Here is a 19,360-nt window from a genome sequence, read left to right as displayed (position 1 = left end):
CTGTATAACGAAGTAACAGAAGAGGTTACAGACCAGGTTTATTTGCCAGCTAAATCTAAAGCGGCAAAGGAGGGAGAGGTCCATCCCTACCCTTCTGCACCCCCTCATTATTATTTTGAAGAAAAAGACACTCCAGATCTTTCTTTTCCGGAGGACACTGGACGAAAAGTAGTTGCCCCAGTGACTGTTTGAGCAGCACCTTGAGCGACCACTCTTAGTTCTATTCAGGCAGGAATTCAGCAAGCTAGACGAGAGGGTGATATAGAGGCTTGGCAGTTCCCTGTTAGAATATACCTCCACTGATCAACAGGGAAGTATTATAGCTACATTTGAGCCTTTTCCTTTTAAATTCGAGAAAGCACATTTAGTTGATTATATCAAGGCCTGTGATGGTATCGGAGGTAATCTGCATAAAGCTACTTTGTTGGCACAGGCAATGGCAGGACTGAGAGTGGATAAAGGAAATACTCCATTTCCTGGAGCTTGTTTTAACTGTGGGAAGCATGGTCATACTAAAAAAGAATGTAGAAAAAAATCAGTGAGTCAGGCCACCAGATAGGGGAAAAAAGAAAACTGCTGAGCCTGAAATATGTCCAAAAGGTGAAAAAGGAAAACATTGGGCTAATCAGTGTCACTCTAAGTTTGATAAAGAAGGGAACCCGATTTCAGGAAATGCCACAAGGGGCCCGTCCCGGGCCCTGTTCTAAACCGGGGCACTTCCAGCTCAGGCCATTCCCTCACCCCTGTACAATGTCTGTCCCCTGTCACAGCCAATAGTGCTGCAGTAGATTTATGCCGCACAAAAGCTGTGAGCCTTCTGCCTGGGGAACACCCACAAAAGGTCCCAACAGGAGTCTGTGGACCCTTGCCAGTGGGGACAATAGGATTACTTTTAGGAAGGCCTAGTTTAAGTTTAAAAGGGGTACAAATACATACAGGAGTCATTGATTCAGATTACAATGGGGAAATTCAAATTGTCGTATCTACTTCTGTTCCCTGGAAAGCAGAGCCAGGAGGAGAGCGCATAGAATAGCTCCTCATTGTGCCGTATGTGGGAATGGGAAAAAGTGAAATTAAATGAACAGGAGGATTTGGAAGCACAGAAAAACAAGGCAAAGCAGCTTATTGGGTAAATCAAATTACTGATAAATGCCCTACCTGTGAAATAACTATTCAGGGAAAGAAATTTAAAGGTTTTGTAGATACAGGAGCAGATATTTCAATCATTTCTCTATAGCACTGGCCATCCACGTGGCCAATTCAACCCACTCAATTTAACATAGTTAGAGTTGATAAAGCCCCTGAAGTATATCAAAGTAGTTATATTTTGCATTGTGAAGGGCAAAATATACGTGATGGACAACCTGTGACTATTCAACCAATTATAACTTCTGTACCTATAAATTTATGGGGAAGAGATTTATTGCAACAATGGGGAGCACAAGTTCTAATTCCAGAACAATTATATAGCCCTCAAAGTCAACATACAATGCATGAAATGTGGCATGTCCCTGGTATGGGACTAGAAAAAAGTTGCAAGGTTTGAAAGAACCGCTTCAAGCAGAAAGACAAAATTCCCGCCAAAGATTAGGATATCATTTTGATGGCAGCCATTGTTAAGCCTCCAGAACCTATACCTTTAAGATGGATAACAGATAAGCCAATTTGGATAGAACAATGGCCACTAAGTAAAGAGAAACTGGAGGCTTTAGAGAAATTAGTTGCTGAACAATTAGAAAATGGGCACATAGGTCCAACATTTTCCCCTTGGAATTCTCCAGTTTTCATAATTAATAAAAAATCAGGTAAATGGAGAATGTTAAATGACTTAAGAGCCATCAATTCAGTTATACAACCTATGGGAGCATTACAGCCAGGATTGCCTTCTCCTGCTATAATTCCAAAAAACTGGCCTTTAATAGTCATAGATTTAAAAGACTGTTTCTTTACTATCCCTTTAGCTAAGCAAGACTGTAAACGGTTTGCATTTACAATTCCTGCAGTAAACAACCTGCAGCCTGCTAAGCGTTATCATTGGAAAGTGTTGCCACAGGGCATGTCAAACAGCCCAACAATTTGCCAGACGTATGTGGGGCAAGCAATTGAACCTACGCGTAAAAAATTTTCACAGTGTTACATTATTCACTATATGGATGATATACTTCGTGCTGCCCCCACTTGAGAAATATTACTCCAATGTTATGATCACTTGCAAAATTCAATTTCTCACGCTGATTTAATTATAGCTCCTGACAAAATGCAGACTACTCCTCCCTACTCCTACTTCGGGACCTTAGTAAATGACACTACTATTGTGCCACAGAAAGTAACCATATGTAAGGATCAACTAAAAACATTAGACTTTCAAAAATTACTAGGGGATATTAATTAGATATGACCTGCTCTAGGCATTCCTACCTATGCCATGAGTAATCTGTTTTCTATCCTTAGAGGAAATCCTAGTCTCACTAGCCCTCAGCAGATTAACAAAGGAGGCGGAGGCAGAGTTACAACTGATTGAGAAGCAAGTCCATAAAGCTCAAATAGATAGAATAGATCCAGAGAAGACTCTAGATTTGCTCATTTTTTCAACTCAGCATTCACTTACTGGTTTTATTGTCCAAGAACAGGACTTAGTAGAGTGGCTTTTTCTTCCACATACTACTTCACAGACTCTAACTCCTTATTTAGATCAAATCGCTACTATGATAGGGATTGGGAGAACTTGGATTGTTAAATTACATGGATATGATCCTGGAAAAGTTATTGTCCCTCTCAGGAAGGCACAAATACAGTAAGCTTTTATAAATAGTCTTACTTGGCAAACCCATTTAGCTGACTTTGTGGGTATTCTTGATAATCATTTTCCTAAAACGAAGTTGTTTCAGTTTTTGAAATTAACTAATTGGATTCTCCCTAAAGTAACTAAATTTAAACCAATTGAAGGTGCTGAGAATGTTTTTACAGATGGGTCTAGTAATGGTAAAGCTTCTTATTCTGGCTCAAAAAGTAAAGTTTTTCAGACGCCCTATACTTCAGCTCAAAAAGCGGGGCTTGTAGCTGTAATTGAGGTATTGACTGCTTTTGATATGCCTATTAATGTGATTTCTGAATCTTCATACATGGTTCACTCCACAGAGTTAATTGAAAATTCTGTTATGATTTCATGCAGATGAACAACTGATGACTTTATTTACCCAATTGCAAATAGCAGTTAGGAGTAGAATGTACCCTTTTTACATCACTCACATTAGGGCTCTTACACCTCTTCCAGGACCTTTGACTGAAGGGAATCAAATGGCTGATCACGTAGTTGCTACTGCGATATCCAATGCTAGACACTTTCACAATTTAACCTGTGTTAATGCCTCTGGTCTCAAATGCAGATACAGCATTACCTGGAAAAAAGCTAAAGCTATTGTCCAGCAATGCCCAACTTGCCAAATGGTACATTCCTCATCTTTTACAGGAGGAGTTAACCCTTGAGGACTGGAACCTAATTCTATTTGGCAAATGGATGTCACACATGTTCCCTCATTTGGGAGACTAGCTTATGTACATGTATGTGTGGACACCTTTTCTCACTTTGTCTGGGCTACATGCCAAACAGGAGAGTCTTCTGCCTGTGTTAAACATCGTGTTTTGCAGTGATGGGCATTCCGGCTTCTGTTAAAACAGATAATGCCCCAGGCTATACTAGCCAAGCTCTAGCTACATTTTTCTCTATGTGGAATATTAAACACATTACTGGTATCCCATACAATTCTCAAGGACAAGCCATAGTGGAAAGAATGAATCTCTCCCTAAAACAGCAGTTGCAAAAGCAGAAAGGGAGAGACAGAGAATATGGAACCCCACAAATGCAACTGAACCTAGCATTATTAATTTTAAATTTTTTGAGCCTGCCCAAAGGCCAGATGTTATCAGCAGCTGAACAGCATCTACAGAAACCAGCTGCAAAGACAGAAACAGAACAACTGATTTGGTGGAGAGATCCGATAACAAAAAGTGGGAAATAGGTAAAATAATAATTTGGGGTAGAGGTTATGCTTGTATTTCTCCAGGCCAAAATCAACAGCCAATTTGGATACCATCAAGACACCTGAAACCTTATCATGAGCCAGATGCCAAGGAAGAGATTCGGGAGGATCCTGAGGACCCCCCGGTTGCAGCCATGTTGAGACTGATGCTGAGGAGGACCCCAACTGTCACGAGCAACACCCGTCGACCACAGCCACCCACCTGGGGACAGATCAAGAAGCTGTCACAGATGGCGGAGGAAAGCGGAACAACCAGTCACAATGAATAATTTAATGGTAGCTATGATAGTGGTTATCACCACTGCCGTGAGTATTCCTACAATAAGGGCTGGTAATAACGCCTGGATGCAATCACTCTATGACACAGTTACATATGCTTTCTGATCTCAGTATTTACCATAATAAATCTGCTCCTATAATTGAGGCATACCACCCTTAAAAACCTATTTGTAAACAGGATTGGACCCAGTTAGAAAAAATGAACACAATTGTTTAGGAAGATTGCCTTGCAGAACAGGCAGAGATGCTGCACAACGATTCCTATGGAATCATTATTAATTGGTCCCCTAAGGGGATGTTTAGCTTGAATTGCACCTCTCAGTCTGCGTGCCACAGTCACACTATGTTTAGATGATCTGAACAAAACAGTCAGATGGTAGAAATGTTAAGAAGTACGGCAAAAGTTCCTATTATGTGGAACCATGGCGGTATAGTGGCACCTCAACCTCAAATGATATGGCCTGCTCTAGGAGCTAAACATAAGGATTTGCGGAAACTATTAAATGCTCTTAATAAGATCAAAATTTGGGAAAGAATAAAAAAGCATCTAGAAGGACACTCTACAAAATTGTTTTTGGATATAGCAAAATTAAAAGAACAAATATTTAAAGCATCCCAGGCACACCTGACCTTAATGCCAGGAACTGAAGTGCTTAAAGGAGCTGCAGACAAATTAGCAGCTAGTAACCCATTAAAATGGATAAAAACACTTGGAAGCTCTGTGATTTCAATGATGACTGTGCTTTTAATCTATGTTGTTTGTCTTTGTATAGTCTGCAGATATGGATCCTGACTCCTGCAAGAAATAGCTCACCGTGACAAAGCTGCCCTTGCTTTTATCGATTTGCAAATCAAAGAAGGGGGACATGTTGGGAGCAGGCCCCCCCCCCCAAAATCTGGCCATAATCTCTGCAGCACTATGACATGTTCATGACGGCCATAATGCCCACACTGGAAGATTGTGGGTTTATGGGAATGAGGGCAAGGAACACCTGGCCCACCCAGGGCGGAAAACTGCTTAAAGGCATTCTTAAGCCACAAACAATAGCATGAACGATCTGTGCCTTAAGGACATACTCCTGCTGCAGTTAACTAGCCCAACCTATTCCTTTAATTCAGCCCATCCCTTCTTTTCCCATAAGGGATACTTCTAGTTAATTTAATATCTATAGAAACAATGCTAATGACTGGCTTGCTGTTAATAAATACGTGGGTAAATCTCTGTTTGGGGCTCTCAGCTCTGAAGGCTGTGAGACCCCTGATTTCCCACTTCACACCTCTATATTTCTGTGTGTGTCTTTAATTCCTCTAGCGCCGCTGGTTTAGGGTCTCCCTGACTGAGCTGGTCTCGGCACCCAGGGGTGCTACTCACAATGACATGGACTTCTTTAATACAAAAGGGACAACTTTGTAAGATAATAGCAATTTCAAATCAAAATCTCTAAAAGTAGGGAGCCATTTATATCCAGAAATTATTCACATCTATAAAAAGATTAATGCTACCCCTACTTAATAACAAATAGATAAAAAAGAAAAATAACTTCTACATGGTACATGACAGTCCATTGTGTAAATCATTTTAAAAGAAGAAGAGGCCAGGTGCCTCTCTTCCACCCACCACACCTCAGAGCAGGAGAGGAAGGAAAAGGAATTTGTCTGCTGGCTCTTTGCTGTCTCCTGGGCAAAGTCTCCTAGCACTCCCAAAGTGCTAAGATTACAGGTGTGAGCATCGCTTGAGCCCAGGAGTTCAAGAACAGCCAGGACAACATGGTGAAACCCCATCTCCACAAAAAATACAAAAATTAGCCAGGAGTGGTGGTGTGTGCCTGTAGTCCTAGCTACTCGGGAAGACCTCCACTTGAGCCTGGAAGGTTGAGGCTGCAGTGATCCGTGATCACACCACTGCACTCCAGCCTGGGTGACGGAGTGACAGTGAGATTCTGTATCCAAAAACAAAACAAAACAAAACAAAACAAAACAAAACAAACAAACAAAAAACCCGCAAGAAGAAGAAGAAAAATGTCCATGTGGAGTCCAGGCATTTTTAAATTCCCTAAATGGGAGGGCTCTGGAAATGTCAGGTGTAGTTACCACTAAATGGGTTTGGGGTTTAAAAGGCAACCCTTTGGGATCAGCCATCATTTCCACTCTCTGTCCTCCTCCAGGAAAATCTGTCACACCTGACATTTGGTAACTTTATCAGCTGGGGCCATGGACAGGCTGTGTTTGGGACTAGGGTGCATCTATAACCTGAGCATTCCCAGGGAGTGGCCCTGGCTTGTCCCCAGGCTGAGAGCTGCTATCAGGTGAGCAGGGCCAGCTGGTGCCAGCAGGAGGAGAGGGAGCCCAGGACCTCTCCCCTACATGTGTGAAGAGCTGCAGATCCCGTGGATGCCAGCTCCCAGAAAAGCAGGTGCTGGTCAGGAGGCCGCCCTGGCGGCAGCCTCTTCCCTGCCCTCCTCCTTTTCTCCCCACCCAGCCAGGGCCCATCCTTGCTCCCTGTTCTCTCCCTGGAATCCAGTTTCTCTTCCTCTCTATGGTGGTGCCTGCTTCAGTCAGGCCTTTGCCAACTCTCACCCACAATCCAAGCTCCATACTGATCTGGCCACCAGCTTAGCTTTTCTCTAGTCCAGTGTTTGATAAGGTCTGCCAACTGTCAGAATCATGAGGTGAGGGGGCAAGTACACATGCTTAAAATGCAAATTCTCAGGCCCTGCCCTGGCCTAGTGAATGAGAATTTCCAGGTAGGGCACAGCAACCTTTACCTCCAACCAGCTGTCTAGGAGATTCTGCTGCAGGCTAATCATTCTCTCCTTGGCTGCCATCTAATTTTATGTAAACACAGATTGGCTCATATCACCCCCTTGCTTTAGGTAGCTGGGGTGGGGATGGGAGGGGTTCGTGTGTCTAGATGTGCCAGACGAACTGGTGGGATTGAGCCACCCAAAGTCTCTTTACTGAGAGCCGGAGATGCTGCCTGACCTGAGAAAGAACTTGTCTTAAGAGACAGGGCGGGCTGGACCTCATGAGGAGGATCAGCCCCAGGAAAGGCCAGTGCTTGGCATTAACTTGGCCCTTGGTTAATAGAGCCAAACAGATACCTGGCCCTAATTTACTATGCCTAAGGACAGAGGGAGTTGTAAGTAAAATCTGGATGTACGATTGCACTAAACATTGCTTAATGCACTCACGCACACCCATGCACTCACATGCAGCAGCACTTTTTAGAGGCCCCTGTAGGAGAGCATTTCTCCCACTTCCACACAGGGTGACTCTGGCCCCCTGAGGACTCTGTGTGTTGGGATGTCTGGCTGGAGAAGGTGAAGACCAGTGCAAAAGGGCAGCAATGCCTGCCAAGGGACACCAGGACCTCACCACTTTAAAATGAAGGCTTTCTCCCCTCCATAGTTAACCCCTACCTGTCGTTTTAGATTCATCAACCCCCTCCCCAAGCAGGCACCCTGATTTCCAGTCATTCCAACCCAAACAATTCCCCTCTGTCCCCTGCACGGGATTAGGCTGCAAACTTCAGTGGCAGGACAATTCGTGGTTGAGGAACTTAAACCCTTATGGGGAAAAACAGACAGTTGGGAGTTGAGACAACAGAGAAGCTAGAAAAACTTCTGTAAATACTCATATAACCAGGACACCACATAGAATACACCACAGAATAAAGACAACGTTTGTGATATTTGCTCATCTTTATTAATTTCCATTAGAATTTGTAGACAATGGAATCTTCCTTCCCTGTATTTTAAAGGAAATGCTTGTCAATGGATTTTGCTTTGCCCCCTATATTATAAACATGAGGGTACTGTCCTTGATTTTTTTAAACTCAGAATGGTTAGCTGTTGTCCTGTTCACAGGCCCCACAGCTGCAATGTCGCCTGGGGAAATGGTAACTTGGATGTTTGCACAGAAAACATGGAGTTGTCCTTTTGCCAGAGGCACAGAGTCCTTACTGCTTCTGATCTTTGGGCCAAAGCTGGCACCATCTCTGCTTCCCCCCTCTCTGATCCCACCACAGTTAGTTCCAAGGCCAGGGTCAGCTCCCTGTAACTTCCACAGAAGCATCTTACGGACAAGACTTCAGCCTGTACTCATCTCTGTGGAAGGAGGCGGATGCCACGACTGGCCACTCTTTTCACTCACCTTATTATCATCTTCCTATAATCTGGTCCCCACAGAGTAGTCACAGTAATAATTGGAAAGTATAAATCAGTCTTATCATGTCCCTACTTAAGATCTTCCAATGACTTCCCATTCTCCTTGGAAGAGAATCCAAGCATTTGGCCATGCCTAAAAGGCCCACATGGCCTGACCTCTGTGACTTCTTCATCTTCCTCTCCCACTTTTCTTCCTCTTCTCCAGCTCAGCGATACTGGCACCCTCTTGCTCCTCATCCAGCACATCAGGGTCCTTCCTGCCCCAGGGCCTTTGTACTTGCTCCGTCTGGAGTGTCCTACCCCCGCCCCCGGTGCTTCCCATCGCTGGCTCCTTCGCTGCTCAGATGTCCTGACCTCAGAGAGGCCTTCCCTAACCACCTCTTTAAACAGCCCCTTTTCTTCTCTCACACTTAAATCTCTTTACCTTGCTTTATTTTCTCAGCGCAAATCGCCATGTGCAACTCTTTCAATTATTTATCTATGTGTTTACAGACTGTCTCCTCTGACTAGAATGTCAGCTGCAAGAGGCCAGGAACCTGCTCTCCTTGTTCATGGGTGTGTCCCCAGGACCTAGCCCAGTGCCTGGCACATAATTAGCACTCAAAAAGTGCATACTGTGAACAAATGTATCCAGACCTTAAGGTGAGGTGGCTTAGGAAGGCTGGGCCTTGGAAGTGGCACATCCACCTGGAGGCACTTGGATCTACGACATGACCAGAACTTGTGGCTTGGACAGGTGAGCAACACTTCCTGGTGAAGGTGCAGGCAGTAGCCACCACAGTGGGGGCTCTCTTCTGTCACCTTTCCGATCTCTTGTCTCCTTCCAATCCATATCTGACGCCCATTCCCCACCTTTCTCAGAATACTTTCTCATTCAAACCTATTTTCTTTACCTTATTGGTTTTATGATGTTGTTCATATAAATTAGAATATGCCATTACTTGCAGTTGGGAAAGCTACTAGATCCTAAACTGCCTTCTAATACAGAGGTAGTCACCTTCAATATTGTCAAAAGTTACAGGCACTTTTCTTTTTGACTATTTATGAGCCTTGTACAATTACTAGTTAGATGAGTTTACCGTAAAATATCTTTAAAAGGATAAAATATACTTATATGATTCCTTTATGAAACAGCTCACAAATCATGTAAAAATGGGCTGTTCAAAGGAAAATAAGCTGGCACTTAGATCCTTAACCAATTTTCTTTTGTGTTTGCATACATGTCTGTCTACAATATTATAAATTTCACTCAATTGCCCTTCCGCAACATCAGATTCTTAATTAAATGAACACCACTGCTACAATTCTCTGAAAAATAAAACAGCATTTCCACATGAATTAGAAATGACAACTTGTTAATTGCGTCCCTGAGGTTTTGTTACAAAATCATCACTCTTTTTGTCATTGTTCAGGCATAAAAAGACCATGCTACAATCTGGAAATAAGAATGTTCTTCAGGCAATTGATTCTCAAGTGTGGACTCAATATTCCATAAGACGGCTTTCCCCCTTATTCCTATTATAATACATGACAACAGTTAATTGCGTAGAAACGTTTTTCGTATTGTTTTATTTTATTGAAATTCACCAAATTCAGATGAGCTGGAAGAGGAAGCTGGCCTGAACTTATTAGAGAATTTACATTAAAAAATACTAGGTGGTAAACTTCTTAAAGGCAGACAGCCTGTTGTACTTGTCTTTGCTTTCCTAGCATTTAGCTAGGTAATTCAGGCAAGGCACTTGGAGGCCTTCATTTTCCTCCTCTATAAAATGGTCATAATCCTAGGCCTGTGGTGAAGACTAAATACTTGGAACTGAGGAACTAGCATGTAATAAACACCTAACAAATGTTACCGACTTAAAACGACTCAGTAATTATTAGTATCTGCCACCTAGGCTGAAGGGCAGTGGCACGATCATGGCTCACTGCAACCTCTGCCTCCCAGGTTCAAGCGATTCTCCTGCCTCAGCCTCCTAAGCAGTTGGGATTACAGGCGCATGCCACCATGCCCAGCTAATTTTTGTATTTTTAGTAGAGACAGGGTTTCACCATGTTGGCCAGGCTGGTCTCGAACTCCTGACCTCAGGTAATCCACCCACCTTGGCCTCCCAAAGTTCTGCAATTACAGGCATGAGCCACCACACCTGGCCTTCAACAACTTAAAATGCTCCCCAAGTCTTTCCAAGAAGAGATCCTTTTCCAAGAAGAGATCATTCTTCAAAGAATGAATGATTCATTTATAATTCACAACCCCACTTGCATACCAACAATTATTCTGGTTAAGCCCTTTAAAGAGCTGATTTCTTAATTAAACCTAACATTCCCTTTGCACTTTCGTTTGTCCTTTGAATTTTTTTAGTAAATCTTTTCTTTTAAGCAGTGTAGACAAGTGCTCCAGTCTAGCCTAACCATGTACATTTGCCCATATATTAAATGAATGGCATCTAAAAGAATGATGCTATGCTGTGTTTTACGTAATAGAACAATACCAAGAATGGTCACCACAAATAATGCACACTCGTTTTTGAGGAGGAAACTTGGTATATTCAGTTTGATGTCAGCTGCCTTCCTCTTCTAATCACCCCCCTTTGCCTTATACTCCCTTTTTAAATTAATGCATTGTTGGAACGGAGTCTTTGAAATCATTACAGGGACCTGCAGTTTGCACTTTTTCATAATTTATTTAGAAAGACCTCATGGTTTTGTTTTTAAGCTTAGGTAGGCATTTCATTATTTTGGTGACTTGTTTCTTGGCACCACATAGGTGACAGCAAGATGAGAATTAAACAGGGCTTTGAGGGATTGAATGGGCCAAGACATACCCAGGCTGCCTTGAACATGTGTGAGGCCTGGAACAAGAGATCCAACAGAAGCCCACATTCCTTATGCTGGGAGGCATCTCCTCACACCTGCCACTCCAGCCAGGTAACCTCTGCCCACCAGGTGTCTCCAGCACTGCCAACGTCTGCTGGCATTACCTTTTACATCCTGCAGAGGAACATGAGGCTGGGGAGTCCAGTTCAAATGAAGAATTTGTGGCCTCTCTGGAACTCTACACTAAATGTGGTGGCACGAGGTGATAGTCCCTGGTGCCCAGTCTATAGCCCAGCCCACTTCTCTTCCCACCAGGCTCCGGTGCCATGAAAGTTCTTCCATACAGGCATGTGGACACCCCAGCTCCACAGCGGAGCTCTGTCAGAGCCTCTGCAAATAGCTGCACCTTGGCCATTCCATAGAAAAAGGAGTGTGCACAATGCTGTGGTTTGAATGTCTGTATCCCTCCAAAACTCATGCTGAAACTGAATCCCCAGTGCAACAGTAATAAGAGATGGGGTGTTTAGGGAGTGATTAGCACCTTATAAAAGGGATTGATGGAGTGAGTTTGGACACTTTCTGCCCTTCTGTCTTTTCTGTCATTCGAGAACATACGTTCATCCCTTTTGGAAGATCCAGCAATGAGGCACCATTTTGGTTTTTTGTTTGTCTTTTGAGACAGAGTCTCGCTCTATCACTCAGGCTGGAGTGCAGTGGTGCAATCTCGGCTCACTGCAAATTCTGCCTCCTGGGTTCAAGCAATTCTCTTGCCTCAGCCTCCCAAGTAGCTGGAATTACAGGCATGCATCACCATGCCTGGCTAATTTTTTGTATTTTTAGTAGGGATGGGGTTTTCACCATGTTGGCCAGGCTGGTCTTAACCTCCTGACCTCAGGTGATCTGCCCGCCTTGGCCTCCCAAAGTGCTGGGATTATAGGTATGAGCCATCACGCCCAGCCCCAAGGCACCATTTTGGAAGCAGAGAGCAGCCCTCGCCAGACACCAAACCAGCTGGTGCCTTGATCTTGGATTTCCCAGCCTCCAGAACTGTGAGAAATAAATGTCTATTGTTTATACATTTTTCAGTCTCAGGTATTGTTATAGCAGCAGGACTAAGATACCATTCCATGGAAATACAGGTGTGCACACCGACAACACAGTCCACTCAAGGAGGACAAACCCAGTAAGTGACTTATGAAGCCCTAGCTACCCAAAGAATGTTCTAGAAGGATGGCCTATGGGCTTGGCCCTTGAAAGTAATGTCCCAAGGCTGGGATTCCTCTTACCTGGGTCTAAAGGCAACGCCCACTAGGTCTGTTCATTCTTCTCATTGAAAAAGCAGCTCCTGCCCCCAATCTGTGTGTTGAAGAAGGGAGTGCAGTCAAATGTAAGAGGGTAGGTTATTTAAAACACTATGGTATATTCTCTACATTAGAAAAACCTCAGATGGGCTGGGTGTGGTGGCTCACGCCTATAATCCCAGCACTTTGGGAGGCCGAGGTGGGTGGATCATTTGAGGTCAGGAATTCAAGACCAGCCTGGCCAATAGGGTGAGACCTGGTCTCTACTAAAAATACAAAAATTAGCTGGGCATGGTGGCACGCGCCTGTAGTCCCAGCTACTCAGGAGGCTGAGGTAGGAGAATTGCTTGATCCAGGGAAGCGGAGGTTGTAGTGAGCTGAGATCATACCATTAGACTCCAGCCTGGGCATCGCAGCGAGACTCCATTGCCAAAAAAAAAAAAAAAAAAAGAAAAATCTCAGATGACATCAGCGAACAGAGAGAGCTGAGATTCTAGTGTTGCTTGTGAGCTTCCCCAGAGGAGGTCGAACCGAAACCAGGTCTCAAATGCAGTAGGGATATCCATCTGCTGTTTTTTAAAAATATTTTTTAAAGTATATTTTTAAAATACAGATAGGGTCTCACTTTGTTCCTCAGGCTGCTGTCAAACTCCTGGCCTCAAGCAATCCTCCGGCCTCCTCCTCCCAAACTGCTGCCATTACAGGGATGAGCCACTGCGCCCAGCCCATTGTAGTTTTTATTAGAATTTATGATAAACTTTTCATTTCATGGCATTGTCAATTATATCAGGTATTTTCTTGGTCATTTTTTATTTTTTTTGTCTGGAAAGCTGCTCTGGGGAGACCTCAGTTTTCTGCCCACCTCCTCTGTGTGTGGCCCTCAAACTAAAGACAAGCCCCTTAAGGATCACCACTCCCATGCCTTGCCCCTACCACGGGTACCTCAACCGCTTCTAAAATTTTTAGATCATCTCTGCTATATTCAACGGCCATGGAAGTTTCAAAAGTTTCCAAAGCAAAATGTTTTGTCTGAAACAAGCTGCTTTGGATTTTGTCTACATGATACAGGCACCTTCCTCTGGGCCCCATAATTGTCTCCTCTGTCACTTGCTTGGTGTTATGACATGTAACAAATCAGAGTGGGAAGGTCTTAGTTTTCTCTTTGTCAGCATTCTGGGATGCCCTGGTGGTAACAGGAAATGCACCCACAGCTCCATGCAGCTCTCTTGTAGGTGCTTTTCTTACCTGTGGGCCAGATCCTGTCCTATGTAATGTTGATGTTTGTAGAGTTTATTTTTTGGTTTAGGGCATGAAATGATAATCGGCTTAAGCAGCACCAGAATTGAAGCAGAGAAGGTGAGGACACAGATTTCTTGGCCCTTTGACGAACAAACTGAAGATCACTGTTCAGTCTTCCCAACTGCAGAAGCTGTGATGTGGCGGAAAGAGCTGGAACCGTGCAGCTGGGCTTGCTCCCCCATGTCCCTCGTCCATCCTTCGTGGCCCACTCACTTGCCAAGAGCTGTTGATGTTGAAGCACCCAGGATATCCAGGAGGCAGCACCACATTCAGCAGGGCATTGTGACTTGGGGCCAAGTCTTTCAGCCTCCCTCAATCTCACTTTCTTTACTTGCAAATAGCAATACCACAGACCCCTCACAGGGATCATGGGAAGGTTAAAGAAGTGGAACTGGTTCAGCTGGAGCTTAGTAAGTAGTCAAAATCAACCTTCAAGAGTCCGTGTCCTGGAGCTCAGCAGCTGTCCTGGGCCTGGAAGACGGGGTGTGCTTCTGCTCTGTCTCCTTCTGTGGTTCTGGGGTGGGGGATCTGCATAGCCTGTGGGGTCCCCAGAGAGCCTGGGGCTGCTGCAGAGCAAGTTCTCTGTTGTTGGCAAATAAAGCCATAGCAGAGATGACTCCAGCAAGTTGAGCACCCTCTGAACAAAGAAGGAAATGTATTATCTCTTTCCTGAGGCCTATTCATATTGGAAAAAACACTACCAGATTTAACTTCAAAATATAATTTTTCCAGCACAGCTGGAATGCACCCCCCGGCCATCCAGAGGCTTCTAAATGCATTGGGAGCTCAGTTACGACGCTCACCAAGTTGTCTCATCTCGCCTGGAACCCACTGGCCCTCACAGAGTTGAGAGAATATTCATTTTCTTGAACTCTTATGAACGACAGTTTCTCGCTTGCCATGATTCTGTGGAACTGGGCATCCGGCATCTCAGAGATGGGAAGTCGGAGAAATTCTGAGCATAGGCTGTATTTGCTGAGAAGATAAAGAGACTACTTTCCATTTCTCACTTCTCTCTCAAAGCGCAAAAACAACGGGCCTGTCTGGCCTAGTCACTGCTTTCTGTCTCTGAAGTGTTCCAGGCGCCAGAACCAGCCTTCCTCCTTATTAACGTTCCATGATGATTCCTTCCAGGTGCTGGGGATCCAGCCCGTGGGGTTATTAGAGGGCAGACACCAACAGGGAAGGTGTTGTTGACTCACCCTCACAAATATCATTCCTTACATTGTCAGGGCAATTACAAAACACGACTTTAAAAATACTATAATAAAATATCCAACTGAAGACTTTCAGTATAATTAATCCGCCAACCTTATATTTTGAGAAGGTTGAGAGCCGTGAGGGAAAATAAACCCTAGAGAAATACATTGTTTTTAAGTTCTTTCAATAAAGACATGTAGGCATTTTCTAATGTTTTTCCCAAAAAGAAAGAACATCTACTCCTCTAATTCCACAAGAGATATAAAGAATTAAAGAAATTGTGATTAACAGCCCTGTGTCTGGAGCTCATGAAGCTCAGAGGATTGGGAATGGAAGTGGCAGGTTTAGGCTTGAATCAGAACTTCTGGATTTAGGAAAACAAAACAGGCCAGGCGCGGTGGCTCACACCTGTAATCCCAGCACTCTGGGAGGCCAAGGCGGGCAGATCAGGAGCTTGAGACCAGCCTGCCCAACGTGAGAAACCCTGTCTCTACTAAGAATAAAAAATTTAGCCAGGCATGGTGGTGGCACGCCTGTTAATCCCCGCTACTTGGGAGATTGAGGCAGGAGAATCGCTTGAACCTGGGAAGCAGAGGTTGCAGTGAGTCGAGATGGCGCCACTGCACTCCAGCCTGGGCCACAGAGCGAGACTCCGTCTCAAACAAACAAACGACAACAACAAAATGCAAACTCTGGCCAGGCGCGGTGGCTCATGCCTGTAATCCCAGCACGTTGGGAGGCCAAGGTGGGCGTATCACTTGAGGTCAGGAGTTCAAGACCAGCCTGGCGAACATGGTGAAACCCCATCTCTACTAAAAATACAAAAATTAGCCAGGTGTGGTGTCATGCACCTGTAGTCCCAGCTACTCAGAAGGCTGAGGCAGGATAATCGCTTGAACCTGGAAGACAGGTTGCGGTGAGCACAGATCGCGCCACTGCACCCCAACCTGAGCGACAGAACAAGACTTCATAAAAAAAAAAAAAACCCCACGCAGATTGCAGATTCCTGGGCCCCATCTTCGCCTTTCTGAATTGCAGCCTTTCACCCTTTAAGAATGAGAGGGTGAAATCTGCACGTCATACAAATAGCCCAGGGGCTATTAATCTGATGTTGCTCCCCAGCTCCCTCCAACACCGTCAGAGGGTGCACGGATTAGGCCTCTGCTGCGTGCAGAGAAGCATCCTAGGTGCTGCGTGGCTGTGCCAAAGCAGCAGAAACCGGTGGTGTGCCTTAAGATGCATGCTCCAAAGCTGTCCACAAGGCCTCTGGTACAGGCTTCCAGGTCTACGTCTCGGCTTCCCCGACAGTGTCCATGCGACACTGTCACCAGTTTCTCCTCTCACAAGCAGAAAATCAAATTCGGATTGGGCAAATGATTCCCTGCCCGGGTGTGGAATAAGGGTCAAGTCCTAAGTATGGAGAGAGAGCGCCGGCTCCCGCCAGGATATGCGAAGCTCTGGAGGGGAGGCCAAGCCACCAGGCACCCGGCGGGAGAAGAGGAGGCTGGAGAGCGCCGCCCAGTGCCTGCAGGCCGGGCGCTCCACGCCTCCCCTCCCTCCTGCACACCCCATTCCCCTCCGGTTGCCCCGCCTGGGAAGCCCCCTCCCCACACCTCCCGGCCCAGCATCTGCACGAGAGCCGCGAGCCCTGGCCCAGAGCTCTGGGTGGGCCTCTCACCCCAGACGGCGGCCGCAGCCCGTCCCTGATCACCGGCCGCCTGAGCCCTCCGTTCGCTCGGCGCGAGCGCCGCCACCCGTCCTTACCCCCATCCAGTCCGAGGCCAGCCCCGTAGGCTCCGAGCCTGCTCCGTGAAAAGCCTTTTCCCCAGGAGGAGAGTTACTGTAAAGCAAGAGGAAGCCGAGAAGAGGCGGTGGCTGCAGCGCGCGGGGCCCGGCGGGGGCGCGGGGGCGTCGGGGTACTGACTGGGCAGCGCGGTTTCCCCTCATCCCGGGACACGGTGCGGCGCTAGCGCCACCCAGCGGGCGCGGTGGGAATTGCGCTCCCTTCCTGCGCTGGGGCTCTGGACACACAGGCGACCAAGAATGACGCCTGCAGCCGGATAAACGCTCGGGGCAAGGCCGCTATCATCCCTCTGCCGGGAGTGAGTCAAGTCTCAGCAAAAGAAGAAGCCACTTTGGCCAAAATTCCAAGAGTGCTGATGAAGACGGTGACATCTGACATTTCAATGGCACTTTCCATTTCCCCCGGGGTGCGCATTCCGGGCCAGTGGAGCGCTGCGTCGCCTGTGCAGGACCTGGAGGTCTGCAGGACTGTGACCAGTCGGAGTCTCGGAGTCGTGGGTTAAACATTAGTCGGGAGCACTCGTTCATTCCCTGAGCTCCCCTTGCCCTTCACCCTTCGGTCCCGGAAGCCGGAAGGGAGACTGCCCCGCCCCTTGCCTGCCGCCCAGTGGCTCTCCCGGGGCCCTCTTGGCCCCTCTCTCCCAGCCCTCCATACAGTGAAGGGTTGTTTCCGCTGGTGACTTCCACCTGTGGGAGCAGAGAAAGGAAGCGGGGCAGAGGAGAAGGGGAAGGTGTCAGGCGATTCCCCTCCTTGCGCTGCAAGCCGGGTGGGAATAGAACACCTGCAGCCCTCCCCGGCGCCCTGCGAATGAGGTGGGAGTGGGAACGCCATCAGGGCAGAGCCCCTCCAGCTGGCTGGGGTCTGCACCTCCTCGCCAGCCCGGCCACCTCAAAACGGTGCTTGCCTCCCTGCGGGGGTGTAGAAGCCTCTTGGAGCAGCACTTGTAGAAAATCAAGTCCCTGGAAAGAAGCAAAATTAATCCGTTTGTTTCTCTATTTATTTTTGCTTCCCCACACCAGGTATTCACTTCATCCAAGGCTGCCCAATGTCACCTTCCACCCAGAGGAATCTCCCCTCTCCACCCCAGGCCAACAGCCTCTGCCTTCAGCTGTGGCCTCCACTCTGGCATTACTCTGGGCAGAGGGCTCAGGAGGGCTCAAGGAGGACCAGTGACATTCAGAGTGGCCAGAGTAAAGGGAGGGAGGGGGAGTGGTGGGAGAGGCGTGCAGAAGGCACAGGTGAGGTGGCGGAGGGGGGCAGGTGGTGGGGGGAGCGGGCTGGGGTGGGATGGGCCTGTCAGCATAGCAAGGGCTGTGATGGGCTTGAGTCTGACAGGGGGCAATGACCTGACCTACGGTTTTGTAAGATCACTCTGGCTGCCACCTGGAGAGCTGGTGTGGGGATGATGGCCATGGTAGACACAAGGGGAGCAGTTAGGAGACCACCACAAGTGACCATGCGGCCCAGGCGAGTAGGGTAGCAACAGAGATGGGGAGAGGAGGTCAGATTTGTGATCTGTATCTGAAGGTGGAATGGACAGGAATTGCTGATGAGCTTGGGTGTGGTGCATGAGGGAAAGAGAGAAATAAGCATCATTCTTAGGATTTGTCCTGAGCAACTGGAAGAAAAAGAATGACAGTGGCTAATACGGTTAGCCAGGCGCTCCTCTAAACCCTTCACATAGTTTAACCTGTCTAGATTTCATAACACTCCTATGAATTAGGAATTAGTTCTTCCCACATTTTACAGAAGAGGCAATCGAGGCCCAGAGAGTTGAATCAGTTTGCATAAAGTCCCACCATTAGCAAATGGAAAAGCTGGAATTTGGACCCAGCACTTCACCACTGCACACTTCCCCGGCTTTACAGAAAGAGAAATGCCGTGAACTGAGCTAGATGAGCCCGGGGGAGGAATGGGGTTTTTCCGTGGGGGTGTGAATCAAGAGTTCTAGTTGGAATGAATTCAGGCTGAGGTGCCTTTTAAACATCCAAGTAGAGATATTTAGCTCAGCAGATGGATGTATGACTCAGGCCCTGGGTGGCAAGGAGGAGCATCTGGGGCTGGCGTGTTAAGCATGGAGAGGAGACAGGAGAAGAGGGCAGAAGGCTGGGAAGTGGGATTAAATGCTGCATGTGAACGGATGAGGACAGAAATGGATACTTTAGAGCATCCTGTCAAGCCTTGGGGTGTCGGGTGATGAGTGTGTTTAGGAAATATTATTCTAGAGCAGTGCTTGTTTTTGTTTGAGGATTCAATAAAGGCTGTCACCTTGTTCCAGAAAAAGTACATGAACACACACGCAACATTTTGCATACAATTTCAGGGTGTCCGTGGGTCCCCAGAGGACATGCATGGGCCATTCTATTTCTATCAAACCTTACTTCATCCACCAGCCACAATCAAATTTCACTGTATCTCTCAAGTCCTGACCAGACCTCTGATGCAGTCACCCCACCC

General features: G+C 46.5%; 3 long non-coding RNA genes across 4 annotated transcripts in view, besides 3 other annotated features; 2 read left to right on the top strand and 1 right to left on the bottom strand.

The window, feature by feature from the left end:
• The window catches only part of LOC105371632 (uncharacterized), a 31,712-nt gene extending 26,113 nt beyond the window's left edge, over positions 1–5,599 (top strand). The window contains exons 3-4 of one of the 2 annotated variants that reach the window (XR_922315.3): positions 4,065–4,346; positions 5,093–5,599. This is a non-coding gene — a long non-coding RNA (uncharacterized LOC105371632). Of the gene's footprint in view, positions 1–4,064; positions 4,898–5,092 lie in introns of those variants that run through there. The other variant, XR_922313.3, reaches the window with a different exon arrangement.
• Positions 5,600–10,859: 5,260 nt separating this feature from the next.
• C1orf220 (chromosome 1 putative open reading frame 220) lies at positions 10,860–16,953 on the bottom strand. The gene is made up of 3 exons (NR_033186.1): positions 16,864–16,953; positions 13,846–14,536; positions 10,860–12,655 (listed from the first exon to the last, which is right to left on the bottom strand). It is a non-coding gene; the product is annotated as a chromosome 1 putative open reading frame 220 (long non-coding RNA).
• Positions 16,719–16,788: a silencer, noted in NCBI's record as "silent region_1578". NCBI's record gives its function as "represses an Ori minimal core promoter by ATAC-STARR-seq in GM12878 lymphoblastoid cells {active_cell/tissue: GM12878}" and the evidence as "EXISTENCE:reporter gene assay evidence [ECO:0000049][PMID:35858748]".
• Positions 16,819–17,148: a silencer, noted in NCBI's record as "silent region_1577". NCBI's record gives its function as "represses an Ori minimal core promoter by ATAC-STARR-seq in GM12878 lymphoblastoid cells {active_cell/tissue: GM12878}" and the evidence as "EXISTENCE:reporter gene assay evidence [ECO:0000049][PMID:35858748]".
• Positions 17,104–19,186, top strand: LOC124904460 (uncharacterized). The gene is made up of 2 exons (XR_007066748.1): positions 17,104–17,715; positions 17,923–19,186. It is a non-coding gene; the product is annotated as an uncharacterized LOC124904460 (long non-coding RNA).
• Positions 17,199–17,258: an enhancer, noted in NCBI's record as "active region_2142". NCBI's record gives its function as "activates an Ori minimal core promoter by ATAC-STARR-seq in GM12878 lymphoblastoid cells {active_cell/tissue: GM12878}" and the evidence as "EXISTENCE:reporter gene assay evidence [ECO:0000049][PMID:35858748]".
• Positions 19,187–19,360: the final 174 nt, after the last annotated feature.

Source organism: Homo sapiens, chromosome 1, assembly GCF_000001405.40.
Source record: "Homo sapiens chromosome 1, GRCh38.p14 Primary Assembly".
NCBI classification, from domain to species: Eukaryota; Metazoa; Chordata; class Mammalia; order Primates; family Hominidae; genus Homo; species Homo sapiens.
This window is presented reverse-complemented; position numbering and strand designations above follow the sequence as displayed.